The following is a 17,560-nucleotide window of genomic DNA, read 5'->3' on the forward strand; positions in this document are numbered from 1 at the left end:
GTTTCAGTTTTGCAAGATGGAAAAAGTGCTGTGGATGGATGGTGACAATGGTAGCAAAACGATATGAATGTACTAAAAAATAGTTAAAATGCTTAACACAAAACAACTCCCCACCCTGCCTCTGCCCAAAATCAGGAAGCTAAGATAGCCATAAGTGGAGCTGCTGAGGCTGAAGTGGGATGTGGATGCACACAGCTCTGACTTTTCATCTCCTTTCCACCCTCTGCAGAGACACCAAGATATCTACTTGCAACCCTAGAGCTCTTCGGACAGCCCTCGGGAAACCCTGTTTTAAACCCTTGCCAAACTAATAGAGTAATGGACCTGGGCTACCTGTAACTTACATCCATTGCACCTCATTGGCCTCACAAATTCTCTTGCTTTTTTGTTCTCAGATGGTCTCTGAGTTGCAATGATGGTGGGGAAACACTGTCCCGGGAGACAAATGCAAGCCGTGGTGTGACTCCCAGGCATCCACCTTTGGGCTCCTGAAGTGCCGTGTGGTGGCTGCATCAGGTCACCTGAGCCTCTAAAGGCAGTGAGACTCCAGGCCTTTGCTAGGGGAGGACAAAATGAGGACATGCCCAGCAGACTTTTGCTGACAGCTGGAGCTTCCCCTATTGCACCTGCCCTCTACGGGAGGTCTGCCCTCTGAGGGCTCCCTTGCAGGGTTGTCTGAGGAGCAGCTGGGGATTAAGTGGAGGGATGGGCACTGTAAGCAGAAGGAGCAAGTCTTGCTCCAGTAGCCTGGCTTGTGGCTTCACTCTTGGTCCGTGTGTTCCTTGGCCTCATCTCACAGGCTGTGCCCATCAGTAGTTGTGGCCTTTGTGAGTCTGTGGCTTTCTCTTCCTCTGATTTTCATCTCTCTTTTCTTCCTCCTCCTACCCTGACATCTTTCACCTTCTTCCCCCAGCTGGTCCCTGTGGGCAGATAACTTGACCAGACTGGCTGCTGGAAGCTGTCCAAGGCTTAGCTGGAGTGGGCTCTGAAAGGAAAATGTGGGTCATTAGCTCAGGACGATTGAACAGTCTCTGCTCCCCCTGGTTGCACCTTTTGGCTGTTGTGGAAAATGCTGCTGTGAACATGGGTGTACAAATTGCCTGTCCATGTTCCTGCTTTCCATTCTTTTTGGGATATGCCCAGAAATGGAACTGCTGGGTCATATGGTCCAGCCTGCCCCTCTGACCACTGAACCAGGCATTGGCTTTAGCAAGTTGAGATGCATGGGGGTTGGTGAGAAGGGATTGGTAATAATAAGAGGCTTTTACCTGTGTAAAAGGGTCAATAAATAGCTGTCACTATGCAGTGTGTGGCAAGGCTCATGTGAGTGACACAGACCATAATATTATAGGAAATTGGAGACAAGAGCCATTGCCCAAAATAGGGCATATGGGGTAAATGGATGTACTAGTAATCTTTCCATTGTGAGGACAAAAAGGCTCAAGTAAAAAACAAACGTGGGAGGGACGTTATAGCCAGGAAATCCATATGTAGACTTAACTTGAGACCTGATCTCTGTTCTCAAGTGACGTCACTGGGGATCTCTGTCTCTCCATCTCTCAGTACCGCTTTCTCTACATTGGCTTCTTTTTCTCCGTGTGTTGGCAATGTGGCTTTTGGAAGCTCCAGGCTTGCACCCATCTGCTCAGCAGTGAGGTGGCCAGCAGGCTGTTTTTGCGAGACTAGAAGTTTCCTGCTGGACATACATTTGGAAGAATAAAGATAAAAGTTTAAAAAATAGATTGGGTTCCGGTTTGGGTGTCCTTGAATGTCAAGGTAAGCATTTGGGCTTTGGTGAGGGTTTTTGAGTAGGAAACTGATGCGGTTAAATTGGCATCTGGGGAAACTAATATTGGTACAGTGAAATTTGGACTACAGAAGGGAGGGGTGGGGATTAAGTGACCATTGAGAAGGAAGCTATAGATCTCTAGGGGTGAATGGAGGGCTTGGAGTGACCCTAGAGCATTGTCCATCCACTGTACTTCTGGGACTGGCATGGTTACTGAGAGGCATGGCCAGGGACTAAGTGAATATGAAAGCTGGAGTGGGTGGCGGGTGGGTGGATGATGGATGAAGACATGGGTGGAGGGATGGCTGGCTAGGTGGGTGGATAAGAGATGGAAGTTGTGTAGAGAGAATATACACACATGAGGAGCCCCAGTGAGGATATAATGAGTGAAGTTCCACCTTCACTCAAGTAGGCATATCAGAAAGGGAGGAGACTTTTTTTTTTTACAGTTGCTGATCCCAGCCAGTCAGTGAAGTGTCCATCACCTCCAAGAAGTTCCCCTTTTTCTCACTGCAGATGTAACCTACAAGTCAGCAAAGATTAGGGCCCAATATTCTCCACGTCTGACCTGCTCTGCATCTCGCATATCAGGTTATTGTTTCTGCTAGAAAATTTTAGAGTGTCTTGCCTTATCAGGGAAATCCTGAGTCTTCATATAACTTCTGTTAGGAGAGGTTGGCACCAACCAATATTTTCCTGTCCGCCACAGGAGGTTCTATTGTATCTCATGTGAGGTTGATTGGTGGGGAGGGATATTGGGCATTCATAAATCTAAAACAAAGTAATTGAATGTTTACCGCATATTAAATCTTGTGGTAGGTACTGGGACCAAAAGATGAAAAAAGCGAAATAACATTTGTGATTCCTTTGATGGTAATGAACAGAAAGCAACCCTGGCAAATATAAGCCAAATGGGCAATTAATAGGAAGGATCTTGGGGTGGTTTCCAGGATCAACAGAAAGGGAGACTAGCCAGGTGTCTGGAAGAGCAGGAGCCAGGCCTGCCAGGGTGCCCTGGTGCCCTCTTATCAGGAATCTTTAAGAGACTCCAAAGATCTCTAGCCTTTTATAGCTCCTTAAGACTTACATACCCCAGACAGAATCTAATTGGCTCAGGCTTGAATCAGGTGTCCCTCTTGGGAATGATATGCCATGCCCAGGAGGTTAAGGGTCATGAAGCAAAGACACAACTGCCCTTAGGAAATGGACCATTCCCAGAGAAAAGAAAAATAGACTGCTGTTGTGAGCCAGGCAGCCACACAAATTGATATTTACTATAAAAGGCTTTATTCCAGAAGCTTCCAAACTAATTGCATCCATTCTTGGTCTGGGGAAATAGAGAAGGCTGACCCGATATTCCTCTTGATACCTCGGTGTTCACACCTGTGCATTGGGTTGTCCCCTGTCTTGGCAGGAAATCATCTGCTCTAGGCATCTGGAGATGCTCATCCCATCTCTGAGCAAAACAAGGCACAAGGACCTATTTCATTGCTTTCTAGGCTGCTCACAAGGCTGGCAAACCCCACACAGTGCATGGATACCAAAGGGGGCTACCTGGGTATTGTCCAAATTTCCTTGGCAGCTCCCCTTTCAGGATATTTTGCAATGGCATCAACAGCAGGTGTACCTGCGAAGGCTTGTTCTCCACCATTCCTTTTTACTTACAATCAGTTACATTTGTGGTCATCTGTTTTTTTTTCTTTTCTGGACAGAGTTGGTTATTGGTGTTTCTGTTGTAAGTGGGTCAGAACCTAAATAGGTCATCTTGGTTTCCTAGATGTTGTAATCGTGAAATGAACTGAGCAAGGGAGGGTGAGGGAGAAAAGCCTAACTGGCATCAGGAGGGAGAGGGAAGATGTGGTTGGAGCTCAGGGTCCCGCTTTTAGGGGTGTGAAACCTTGGTGATAGGCGTTAAGGATCCCTAAGTGAATTGATGGAGAAGTGGCTGTGGGCTTTGAACCAAGTGGAAGATGGTGTGTGTGAGAACAACCCTGCATCTGTCTGACCTCATTTGTGAAATGTAATAAGAACTGACAGGGATCCTGTGTCTTTCAGAGGCTGGAAATATATGGGAGAGGGTAGAGGCAAGAGGAGGGATATGAGGGGTGGTTATGGGCCAAATTATGTCCCCTCCAAATTTATATGTTGAAATTCTATTCCCCAATACCTCAGAATGTGACTGTATTTGGGCATAGGCTCTTTAAAGGGGTAGTTAAGTTAAAACAAGGTCATTAGAGTGTGCCTAATCCATCATGACTGTTGTCCTTATAAGAAGAAGAGATTTGGACACAGACACATTTGGAGGCAAGACCATGTGAGGACACAGGGAGAAGACAGCCATCCACAAGCCAAGAGAGAGAGACCTGGAAGAACAAGCCCTGCCCACCCCTTGATCTTGGATGTCTAGCCTCCAGAATTAGGAGAAAACAAATTTCTATTTTTTAAGCCAAAACCCTTGCCAAACGAATTGAGTTTGTGGCATTTTGTGATGGCAGCCCCAACAAATTAATACAGGGGCCCTCTGTGAGGTGATAGGGTTGCATTCCCCTGTGCTTCCTTACCCATGGAGCTGGTTTTTTGAATCCTCTAAGTTTTTTGCATTGGCCTCTGTTCTGGGAACTCATTGGCTCAGAACTTCTGGAGGCAGCTTCTGCCTTGATCCTCAGTCTCCTTTCTCCTTGGCTTAAGGAACTTTCCTATTTGACAACTGAGGCAACTGAGAGAGATTGTTCAGGGCCAACCTCAAGTTCAACCATGGGGCACTTCCTCATCTTCCTTCTCTGCATTCTTGGCATTCTTTCACACTGAACAGCCACTTCAGAACAACTGTCCTCTTATGTAGGGATGGCCAGGTCACCTCATTTTTGTAGGTAGAGAGACTAGAACCATGAAGGTATCTCACCTGTCAGTGAGGTGGAGACTTCTTTGAGCCCCTGGACTCAGTGTGGTGAGCTTAGAAGATTACTCTGAGATCAGAACTTGCCTCACTGACAATCTGTCTGGCAGGGCAGGATAATCTGAGGACAGTGGGAAATGTGCCCTAGAATGTGACCCCTGTGAAGTCTGTATGAAATGCCACATTTATTCAGTTCTTGGGATAAGAGGCTTTTGAAAACCCTGTGAATTATCTGGGAGGGGTGTGAAGTGTTTTTCCCCTACCTGGAACATTTTTAAAATTTTAGTAACTGATTGTTCATTGCTATCCTATGGAAATACGATTGATTTTCATATATTTTGCATGTGGCTTATTAGTCCTTGTAGATTTCTGTAGATTCCATTGGGTTGTCTACATAAACAATCATGTTTTCTATGCATAAAAACGGTTTTACTCCTTCCTTTCTAATTTAATTGCCTTTTACTTCTTTTTTGCCTAATTGCACCAGGTAGGCCCTCCAGTGAAATATTGAAAAGAAGTGGTGAGAGTGGTCTTTCCTGCCTTTTTCCTGATCTTTGGGGAATACTTTCAGTCTTTCACCATTAAGTATGATATTGGCCATGAGTTCTTCATTGATGTCCTTTATCACATTGAGGAAATTCCCTTCTATCCCTGGTTTGCTGAGAGTTCGACTATTTTAAAATCAGGAAAAGAATTAGATATTACCAAATGCTTCAGCATCTATTTATATGATCATGTGGTTTTTCTCTTTCAATTTGTTAATATAACGAATAACATTGCTTGAATATTAAACCAACCCTGCATTCCTAGGATATATCTTACTTATATTATCTTTTTTCCATATTTTTGGATTCAATCTGCTGAAATTTTGTTCAGAATTTTTGCATATATGTTCATGAGGGAATATTAGTTTGTGGTTTTCTTCTTCTTTTTTTTTTTTTGGTCTGATTTGGTATCTGGATAATGCTGGCTTCATAAATGCTATGGGAATTACTCCCCCCTTTCAGTCTTATGGAAGAGTTCGTATATATAATAATTAGTAGTATTTCTTTCCTAAATGTTTGGTACACTTTACCTTTGAAGCTGTCTGGGCCTATTTTCTTTGTGGGAAGATTTTTAACTACAAATTTAATTCCTTTAATACATAAAGGGCTATTCAGATTAGTTATTTCTTCTTGAATGAGCTTTAGTAGATTATGTCTTTGAAATAATTTGTCCATTTTATCTAAGTTGGTGAATTTATTAGCATAAAGTAATATATAATATTCCTTTATCATTTTAATATCTGTAGAATATATAATGAGGTCATCTGTCTCTCTCATTCCTGATATTGGTAATCTGTATCTTCTCTCTTTTTTCCTGATCAGTCTGATGAGTTTTATCAATTCCTTTAAAGAGCCAGCTGTTGGTTTTTATTGATTTTATCTTTTTTCCTGTATTATTCATGTCTGCTTTATTACCTTGTCTCTGTGCTTACTTTAGGTTTAATCCCCCCTGCTTCATATAGTTTGTTAAGACAAAAGCTGAGGTCATTAATTTAGTTTGTTTTTTTCTTTCCTGATATAGATGTTTAGTGCCATGATATTTCTCCTAAGTACTGCCTCAGTGGCATCCCACAAATTTTGATATGTTGCATTTTCATTTTTATCCATTTCTAAATACTTTCTGTTTTTCCTTTTGATTGCTTTGTTGACCCATGGGTTATTTTGAAGTATGCTATTTAGTTTCCAAATGTTTGAGTATTTTTTAGAGATTTTTTAACACTTTGCCTGGCTTGAATCCTTTAAAATTTATCGAGGAACATATTTTATAACACAGAATATGGTTTATCTTGGTTAACGTTCTGTGTGCATTTGAAAAAAAATGTGTATTCTGCCATTGAGTGGAGTGTTCTTTAAATGTCAGTTAGGTTAGGTTGGTTGATAATGTTCAAGTCTTTCATTTTCCTATTGATTTTTTGTCTATTTGTCTTATCAATTATTGAGAGAGGTATGAAATCTCTGACTATAAGTTTTTTCATCTATTCTTGCAGTTCTATAAGCTCTTGCTTCATGTATTTTGAATATCTGGCAATATTATTTGAATAATAATGATATTATGAATAATTATTAATATAAAATAGCTATTATTAATAGTCAAATATTATTGACTCTGAAACTTACTTTGTTAGATATTAATACAGCCACTCAAACTTGCTTTTTATTAGTATTAGCATGGTATACCATATTCTATCTTTTATTGTTTAGCCTATTTCTGTTTGTATATTTAAAGAGCATTTCTTGTAGGCAGCATATAGTTGCTTTTTAAAAATCCAACCCGACAAAATCTCTGACTTTCAAAATAAATGGTATGTAGATCATTTATATTTAATGTGATTATTATTCTGGGATAGAGCTAAGTTACGTGAAAACAGTGTGATCCTTTGAGATCTTACTTTTTTCTTTTTTGAAATGTAATGGCGCGATCTCAGCCCACTGCAACCTCTGCCTCCCAGGTTAAAGCAATTCTTGTGCCTCAGCCTCCTGAGTAGCTGGGACTACAGTCATGCACCACCACACCTGGCTAATTTTTTTATTTTTTTATTTTTTTTGAGACACAATCTTGCTCTGTCACCCAGGCTGGAGTGTAGTGGCACAATCTCAGCTCACTGCAACCTCTGCCTCCCAGGTTCAAGTGATTCTCCAGCCTCAGCCTCCCAAGTAACTGGGATTACAGGCGGCACCACCACGGCCGGCTAATTTTTGTATTTTTAGTGGAGATGGGGTTTCACCATGTTTGCCAGGCTGGTCTCGAACTCCTGACCTGAGGTAATCTGCCCACCTCAACCTCCCAAAGTGCTGGGATTACAGGCATGAGCCACCACGCCCGGCCTAATTTTTGTATTTTTAGTAGAGATGGGGTTTCGCCATGTTGGCCAGACTGGTCTTGAACTCCTGACCTCAGGTGATCCACCCACTTCAACTGCCAACTCCCCACATAGTCAGAAATCTGTGTATAACTTTTGGCTTTCCAAAACCTTAACTACCAATAGCCTACTGTTGACTGGAAGCCTTATTGATAACATAAACAGTCAATTAATACGTCTTTTATATGTTGCATGTATTACGTACTTTATTCTTACAATAAAGTAAGCTAGAGAAAAGAAAGTGTTATTAAGGAAATCATAAGGAAGAGAAAATATATTAACTATTCATTAAGTGGAAGTAGATCATCATAAAGATCTTCATTCTCATTGTCTTCATGTTGATTAAGCTGAGGAGGAGGAGGAAGAGAATGGATTGGTTTTTGTCTCAGGGGTGACAATGGAAGAAAATCCATGTATAAGTGGACTGGTGCAGTTCAAACACATGTTCAAGGGTCAACCTTGTTACACAGGACTTGAGCAGTGTTTAGTCTAGGGCAGGGGTCCCCAGCCCCCAGGCTTTGGATCAGTAGTAGTCCATGGCCTGTTAGGAACCGGGCCGCACAGCAGGAGGTAAGTCATGGACCATTACCAATGATGGTAAGCATTACCATCTGAGCTCTGCCTCCTGCTGGATCAGCGGCATTAGATTCTCATAGGAGCATGAACCCTATTGTGAATTGCACATGTGAGGGATCTAGGCTGTGCGCCCCTTATGAGAATCTAACGCCTGATGATATGAGGTGGAACAGTTTCATCCCAAAAGCATTTGCCCTTACTGCCCCCAGTTTGTGGCAAAAATTGTCTTCCATGAAACTGGTCCCTGATGCCAAAAATGTTGGAGACTGCTGGTCTAGGGCTAATTATTCCCCACTACTGAGTATTCTCAGTAAGACACTTCAGAAAGACCCTTCTGGGTATTCGACTCAATGTCCCACGAATTCTGGGCTTCTCTGGTCTGGCTAATGGGAACAGGCTCTATTCTCATCCCTGAGTGAGTGTTGGGTCCTGTTTCCTCTAATCCATTTGAGCAGTTCTTTCCCTAGCCTCTGTTAGTTTCCTTACTTACATGAAGACTTGAGAGGGACCCTTTGGAGATCTCCGGTGTTCTCTGTCTTCCAGGCTCTCTTCTCTCTGATCATCTGATTTGCAGACAATAGCTACCTTAGTCTCCCCAGACTCTCAGATGTCTTGTCAACTCAGGGAGTCTGCTGGGTCCCACTTGCATCAGGGCCTGGAAACTTTCTCAAGGCGGTAAGCTGGGGGTAATCTTAGGGCTTATCTCATTTGTTTCTGCTCTCTCAGGGATCACTGGCTTTGGTGTCCATTTTCTCCTTATATATTTTCTGGTTTCCTGGTTATTTCAGTGGCAGGGTAAATCTGCTTCCCATTATTCCATCTTGGATAGAAGCAGACGCCTTAGATAACTTTTTTTTTCTTTAAAACAATACTGTTTTTTAAACTGCATTTGAGCACCTCAAAGGGGGCTTATGTTCTCAAGGTACCACAGCACCTGACATTTCCTAGTTAATTATTTTAGCTCACTTCTTTCATTTGTGTTCCTTGCTGGCCCTTTTAGTCATTTTAATTTACAACTCTTTAAAGACATGAGACATAGAATAGGTAAGTTTTGGTGATGATGGGTGTGGCAGAGTGTAGACAGGAGGTTCGATGAGTGGGGATAGCAACATGATATTTTAATCTTTGTCTCCCTAATGCCTTGTAAACATACATGTTTATTAAATGAAGAAAGAAAGGATCAGGAAAATCTGAATTATTGCTTGGTTGGGCCAGTTGGTTTCTGGACTTTTAATTTAAGTAGATATTTCTAAATGCCCTCCAAAATGCTTGTAGTAATTTATACTTCCACAAACTCTGTGTGAGATCATTACATATTTGAAAATATTGTTGCATTCTTCCATAAGTCTTTTCTCCTTCAAGTTAAACCTCTTGAACTCTGAGTAGGGCAAGTTATGGACTGAATGTTTGTGTCACCCTGAATTCATATATTGAAGCCTGAATCCCCAGTGTGATGGTATTAGGAGGTGGGGCCTTTGGAAGTAATAAGATCAAGAGGGTGGAGCCATCATGAGTGGGATTAATGCCCTTATAAGAAGAGACATGAGAAAGATGATCTCTTTTTCTGCTATGTGAGGATACAGCAAGAAGGTGGCTTTCAAGCCAGAAAGAGAGCCCTCACCAGACACGAAATCCACTGACACTTTGATCTTAAGCTTGTAACCTTCAGAACAGTGCTACTGAAATGCCAGGGGTTTGGTCTAGGTCCTGCTGCTTGCTGCACAGAAAGCCAATCACTGAGACAACAATTATTACCAAGGAAGAAGGTTTTAATTGGGTGCTGCAGCTGAGGAGATGGGAGATCAGTCTCAAATCCATCTCCCTTACCCAGTAAAATTAGGGGTTTATATATCAGCACAGAAAAGTAACAGTGTGTAGGAAAAAAGGAACTCAGGAGGGGTAAGGAAGCAATCGTGATGAATGAGGGGCCTGGTGTCTCATTGTCCAGATGCCATGATCTGTTGAGCTTCAGTTCTTTCATACTTTTGGAGATGCCTGGGGGTCCTTTTCTGAGGAAGAAACTCAGAAAAAACAAGTGTAAGTTGCAAGCTTTAAACCAGAAAGGTCAATTTCTATGTTTATCCAAAAAAATCCTGTCTATGGGACTGTTGGGTCAGTTTCAACAGTGAGGAATGAATTTTTGTTGTTTGAGCTGCTCAGTCTGTGGGTTTTTTTTTTTTTTTTTTTTTTTTTGAGACAGAGTCTCGCTCTGTCACCCAGGCTGGAGTGCAGTGGCGCGATCTTGGCTCACTGCAAGCTCCGCCTTCTGGGTTCACGCCATTCTCCTGCCTCAGCTTCCTGATTAGCTGGGACTACAGGAGCCTGCCACCACACCTGGCTAATTTTTTGTATTTTTAGTAGAGACGGGGTTTCACCGTGTTAGCCAGGATGGTCTCGATCTCCTGACCTCGTGATCCGCCTGCCTTGGCCTCCCACAGTGCTGGGATTACAGGTGTGAGCCAGCGCGCCCGGCAAGTCTGTGGTATTTTTGTGATAACAGCCCCAGCCAGTGTAGACAGGTAGTGTAGAAGATGCTGAAGGTTTATTGCCATGTCCCCTTGGCTCACTGAGGTCACTTTAATGTAGTTCCTGGACGTGGTGTCTCCTCTCTCTGCCTTCAGAATTCTCAAGCCCGATAAGCACACCACTTACTTGTACAAGATGGAAATGCTGGGAAAATGACCTGCCAGAATGTCCTTCAACCAATGCGGGATGAGAGTTGGTGAATCAATATCCCAGCTCCCTCCTCCAGTGGGGGGACCAATCCTGCCATGTGTTTTAAACAATCTCTCAGAGGTTCCTGGGGTGGGATTGAGCCCCAGTTTTCCCACAGTGGTGACCTGCTCCTTATCATGTCTTTAATTGGGATTCCTCCCCTCCTTGTTTTACTTCTTTAGGCCTTAACTGTGCTTCCTGGAATCATCTCCCAGATAAACTATGTGTACCAGAGTTTCTGTCTCTGGGTTGGCTTTGAAGGAGTCCAAACTAAGAGATTGTTTTGGTAAGGAACTTTCCTGGGACTCAGAGCATCTGCTATGCTGTCCCTGCCCTTCACCCCAATACAAACACCTACGTATGGTAGGGGAGGTGGCAGGAGAAGGGGCTTGGCTGGGAGGCTGGGTTGCCAGGGGGCCCCTATCCATAGAAGCCACGTTGACACCCTTTCTGTGTTTCTAAAGATGGGCAGATCTGTGCATCTTGGAGGAGGCCTGGCTGGGCACTTGCTCCTCAGGTGGCCTTGGTGTGTTCAGATACACAGGTGTTGACATTGAAGTCTGCAGTCAAGGAGAGGTGTGGTGGGACGAAGACATGCCACTGGGCTTGATTATATCACTTGCTGCTTGGAACAACGGTTGTCATTTCTAAGTCATAATTTAGCAGAACTTCAGTAAATCCTTTTGTGTGCAGATGTGTAGGAGAACCAACAGGTAACCTGTAAGCTCTTTGAGACAGGGTCTGTGTCTTACTTTCTTTTCTTTTTTTTTTTTTTTTGAGATGGAGTCTCACTCTGTTGCCCAGGCTGGAGTGTGGTGGCGCAATCTCGGCTCACTGTAACCTCTGCCTCCTGGGTTCAAGCAATTCTACCGTCTCAGCTTCCCAAGTAACTGGGATTACAGACACATGCTACCACACCCAGCTAATTGTTGTATTTTTAGTAGAGACAGAGTTTCACCATGTTGGCCAGGCTGGTCTTGAACTCCCACCTCAGGTCATCTGCCCACCTCAGCCTCCCAAAGTGCTGGGATTACAGGCATGAGCCGCCCAGCCTATGGGTCTTACTTTCTTAGTACCTTTTGTAATTTAATTTTTCTTGAATAGATAATATAATTCTTGTGATTCAAAATCTTCTTCTCCCTCCTGCCCTCATCCACTCAGTTTCAACTCCAGCCCCATCCCAGGCATTCTGTCACTGGTGTCTTAAATCAGCTTCTAGAGTTTCTTTATGCTTATGCACATATGAATCAATTCTTATACTCTGCCATCCCACTCTTCTTCATAATAAGAATTATTATACAGCACCTAATTTTCTGCTTATTTCTCCTCGTGATATATCTCAGTGATACTTTCATATCTGTGGATAGAAAGCATCTTTATTCTTGAATAGCTTCATAGAATTTCATAGTGTGGGTGTACCATAATTTATTTAGCCAGTCCTTATCAATGGTGATCTGGGTTGTTTCCAATCTTTTGCTGTTACTTCAATATTGCTTCAATGAATAACTTTGTTCATATGTTATTTTGTGCACATATAAGCATATTTATAGAATAAATTCCCAGAAATGGAATTGTAGATCATAGAGCTTATTCATTTATAATTTTGGTAGGTTTTACTCAGTTGTCCTCAATCAGGATTGTATGAGTTTATATTATCACTAGGAATGTATTAGGGTACCTGTTTCTCTATTGGTTCACCAACAAAGTACATAAGTAATCAAATTGTTGGAGTTTTGCCAAGCTGATGGGTGAAAAATGGCATCATAGTATATGTATTTTAATTTTTATTTCTTTTATACATTTAAGAACCATTGAATTTCTTTTTCTGTGAATGCTGTAATATTTCTTTTTCCATTTTTAATGGACTTTATTCTTACCTATTCTCATGGTCCTTTTTCCTACAGATTTTGATAGTTCTTTATGTATTATGAAGATAAAGTTTTTATGGCATGAGTGAAAAATTTTTTTGCTGTTTATTACTTGTCTTTGACTCTGCTTATGGGTTTCTTTTTGCTAGGAAGAAGTTATTTTCATTTTAACGATTTCTTATGTAGTCATATTTATCAATTTTTACAAAATGCCTTTTAGATTTTTAAGCATAGTTAGAAAAGACATCTTCCACTCTAACTTGGTATCCTTAACATAGTGCCAAGAGCAGTTTATTTCTTATTTCTTTTTGTTTGTTTGTTTGAGACGGAGTCTCGCTCTGCCGCCCGGCTGGAGTGCAGTGGAGCGATCTCGGCTCACTGCAAGCTCCGCCTCTCGCGTTCCCGCCATTCTCCTGCCTCAGCCTCCCGAGTAGCTGGGACTACAGGTGCCCGCCACCACGCCCAGCTAATTTTTTGTATTTTTTAGTAGAGACGGGGTTTCACCATGTTAGCCAGGATGGTCTCGATCTCCTGACCTCGTGATCCACCTGCCTCGGCCTCCCAAAGTGCTGGGATTACAGGTGTGAGCCACCACGCCCGGCCAGTTTATTTCTTAAAAATGTTATAATTAATAGGTAACCGAGGCCCTTCTCCATGTATTTTTATTCTAAAATCTCTGCTTCCCCCTCCCTCCACCTTCAAATTAGGCAGTTTGATCAGGTGAGTAACAGTAACTCATACTCAGGTGTGACTAACTGGTGAATTAACTTTCCCAAAAGACATTTCTATTTTAAATAAGGAGCTGAGTCAATTGAACTGACTTTCAAATTGCTGGAAGTTGGAAAACTTGGGAAAGCCATCAGGGACCCTCTGTAAGTGGCAATGATGGCTGTTCCATACTCCTGGCTCCTGTGTCCTCATCCCACCAGTATAGGATCCCGAGAAAAACTCCTCTTGGGACGGGAAATGATTCTTCCATTTTGGACTCCATTTCTGAACATAGTAGCTGTGATGTTTATATGGGCTGGTGTCAGTTGGAAAGTAGGGAGGTTGGGCAGCATTGGGTAAAATGATTAAACTGAATTTGTCTTTTACCTTGCGATCTGTCTGTCTCCCTCCTCCTCCTTATCCTCATCCTTTCCCCTAGTCCGGGGGCCCAGTGGAAGTTACTGGATAAGAGTTGCATGGCGGTAAGACAATTTTGTGGAGTTCTACTAAGGAAGGAAACTCCATATTCATCTGGGCCCATAGTCTGTCACTAATTGGCAGTATGATTGTATAAATGTTGCTTGATCTCCCTGCCCTCAGTTTACTGACTTTATAAAATGAGAGGGAAGGACATTAAAGACCTTAAAATGTTCAGGCTTCCAAGTCTGGCAGTTCAAGGTACTTGAGTTCTCTTGGCTGAAGGTGGGTGGGAAGGAAGTTTAAAGTCCTCCCAGATGCCTCATGCTCTTGTTCCTCAAACCTTACCCCTTGATGACCCCAGAGGGCTTAATCAGTCTCCACATCTGCTTCCACTCCCTGTCCCCTACCTCCAGTTCCCTCACTGAGGCTGAGCCTCAGTAGAGCCAGATGCAGGCATACCTCAGACATATTGTGAGTTCAATTTCATATGACCACTATGAAACTAATATTGCAGTAAAGTGAGTCACGGAAACCTTTTGGTTTTCCAGTGCATATAAAATTATGTTTACATTATACCATACTTTATTTAGTGTGCATAGCATATTTTATTAAGTGTGCAATAGCATTATGTCCAATAAACAATGTACATATCTTAATTAAAAAATACTTTATTGCCAAAGGATGCTAATGATCATCTGAGCCTTCAGAGAGTTGTAATCTTTTTGCTGGTGGAAGGTCTTGCTTGGATATTGATGGCTGCTGACTGATCAGGGTGTTGGTTGCTGAAGGCTAGGGTGGCTGTGGCAATTTCTTAAAATTATACAACAATAACACTTGCTGCATCAATTGACTGTTCCTGTCATGGAAGATTTCTTGGTAGCATGCAATGCTGCTTTATAGCATTTTACCCATAGTAGAACTTTCAAAATTGAAGTCAATCCTCTCAAATCTTGCTGCTGCTTTATCAACTAAGTTTATGATTTTTATTTATGTTCTATATCCTTTGTGGTCATTTCGACAGTGCTCACAGCATCTTCACCAGCAGTAGATTCCATCTCTCTTTCTTTCTTTTTTTTTTTTGAGATGGAGTCTTGCTCTGTTGCCCAGGCTGGAGTGCAGTGGCATGATCTCAGTTCACTGTAACCTCCGCCTCCCAGGTTCAAGTAATTCTCTTGTCTCATCCTCTCAAATAGCTGGGATTACAGGCGTTCACAACCACGCCCAGCTATTTTTTTTTTTTTTGTATTTTTAGTGGAGACGGGGTTTCACCATGTTGGCCAGGCTAATTTTGAACTCTTGACCTCAAGTGATTCACCCACCTTGGCCTCCCATAGTGCTAGGATTACAGGCATGAGCTATTGTGCCTGACAGTAGATTCCATCTCAAGAAACTGCTCTCTTTGCTCATTCATAAGAAGCAACTCCTCATCTGTTAAAGTTTTATCATGAGATTATAGCAATTCTGTCACATCTTTGGGGTCCACTTGTAATTCTATTTCTCTTGTTATTTCTATCTCATCTGCAGTGACTCCCTCCACTGAACCCCTCAAAGTCATCCATGAGGATTAGAACCAACTTCTTCCAAACTCCTGTCAATATTAATATTTTGACCTCCTATGAATCACAATTGTTCTTAATAGCATCTAGAATGGTGAATCCTTTCCAAAAGGTTTTCAATTTACTTTGCCCAGGTCCATGAGAGGAATTAACAGACATGAAAACATTAATTTCCGTGTCTGCTAACACAACATCCATTCTGCAGCCCATGGATCAAGGAATAATTTTGACTTTCAGGTCTTAGTCTTTAAGAAATGTAATCCCAGCTACTCAGGAGGCTGGGGCAGGAGAATCGCTTGAACCCAGGAGGCAGAGGTTGCAGTGAGCCGAGGTCATGCCATTGCACTCCAGCCTGGGCAACAGAGCAAGACTCTGTCTTTACAAGAAAATAAAATAAAATAAAACATTAATTTCCTTGCACATCTCTATCAGAGCTCTTGGGTGACTAAGTGCTTTGCCAATGAGCAGTAATATGTTGAAAGGAGTCTTTTTTTCTTAGGAGTAGATCTCAACAGTGGGCTTAAAATATTCAGTAAAACATGGTATAAACAGATGTGCTGTCATCTAGGCTTTATTGTTCTTTTTCTGGATCCCAGGCATATTATATTTAGCATAATTCTTAAGGGCCATAGGATTTCAGAATGATAAATGAGTATTAGCTTCAATTTAATGTCACCAGCTGCATTAGTCCTTAATAAGGGAGTCAGCCAGTCTGTTGATGCTTTGAAACCAGGCATTGGCTGGGTGTGGTGGCTCACACCTGTGACTCCAGCACTTTGGGAGGCTGGGGTGGGCAGATCACCTGAGGTCAGGAGTTTGAGACCAGCCTGGCCAACATGGTGAAACCCCATCTCTATTAAAATACAAACATTAGCCGGGCATGGTGGTGCACATCTGTAGTCCCAGCTACTTGAGAGGCTGAGGCACGAAAATCGCTTGAACCTGGGAGGCAGAGGTTGCAGTGAGCCAAGATCACACCACTGCACTCCAGCCTGGGTGACAAGAGTGAGACTCTGTCTCAAAAAAAAAAAGAAACTAGGCATTGACTTCTCCTCTGCAGCTGTGAAAGCCCTAGATGACATCTTCTTCCAGAATAAGACTGTTTCATTTACGTTGAAAATCTGTCTAGTGCAGCCACCTTCATCAATAGTCTTAGCTAGATCTTCTGGATAACTCATAGCTTCTCTATCAGCACTTGCTGCTTCACCTTGCACTTTTATGTTACAGAGATAGCTTTTTTCCCTTAAACCTCATGAAACAACCTCTGCTAGCATCAAACTGTTCTTCTGTAGATTCCTTACCTCTCTCAGCCTTCACAGAATTGATGAGAGTTAGGGCCTTGGTCTGGATTAGGCTTTGGCTGAAGGAAATGTTGTGGCTGGTTTGACCTATTCAGACCACTCAGCATTTTCCATATCAGCGGTAAGGCTGTTTCGCTTTCTTATTCATGTGTTCACTGGAGTAGCACCTTTGATTTCCTTCAAGAACTTTCCCTTTGCATTCACAACTTGGCTAACTGTGGTGCAAGAGGCCTGGCTTTTGGCCTATCTTGGCCCTTGACATGCCTTCCTCACTAAGCTTAATCATTTGTACCTTTTGATTTAAAGTGCGAGATGTATAATCTTCCTTTACTTGAACACTTAGAGGCCATTGTAGGGTTTTTAGTTAGCCTAATTTCAATATTGTTGTGTCCCAGAGAATAGGGAGGCCTGAGGAGAGGGAGAGCGATAAGGAAACAGAGAAGTCTAAACATGCAATGTTTGTCAATTAAACTTGCCACCTTCTGTGGGCATGGTTGGTGGCACCCCCAAACATTTACAAAACTAACATCAAAGATCTTTGATCACAGATTTACAAAAGTTTGAAATATTTTGATTATGATCAAAATGTAAGACAAGGAATGAGCATGCACTGTTGGAAAAATGACACAAACTTGTTCTACACAGGGTTGCCACAATTTGTAACAAACACACTATTTGTGAAGTACAATAAGCAGAGCACAAGAAAACAAGATATGCCTGTAATCCTGTGATGTGCAATAAAATCAGGTATGCCTGTAATCATTCGTTTATGTATTTGTGAGTAGTCTACGCACTTCATTGCATTTATTAATTTGTAATTTCACTG

Source organism: Homo sapiens, chromosome 14 (assembly GCF_000001405.40).
Source record: "Homo sapiens chromosome 14, GRCh38.p14 Primary Assembly".
In the NCBI taxonomy this organism is placed as follows: Eukaryota; Metazoa; Chordata; class Mammalia; order Primates; family Hominidae; genus Homo; species Homo sapiens.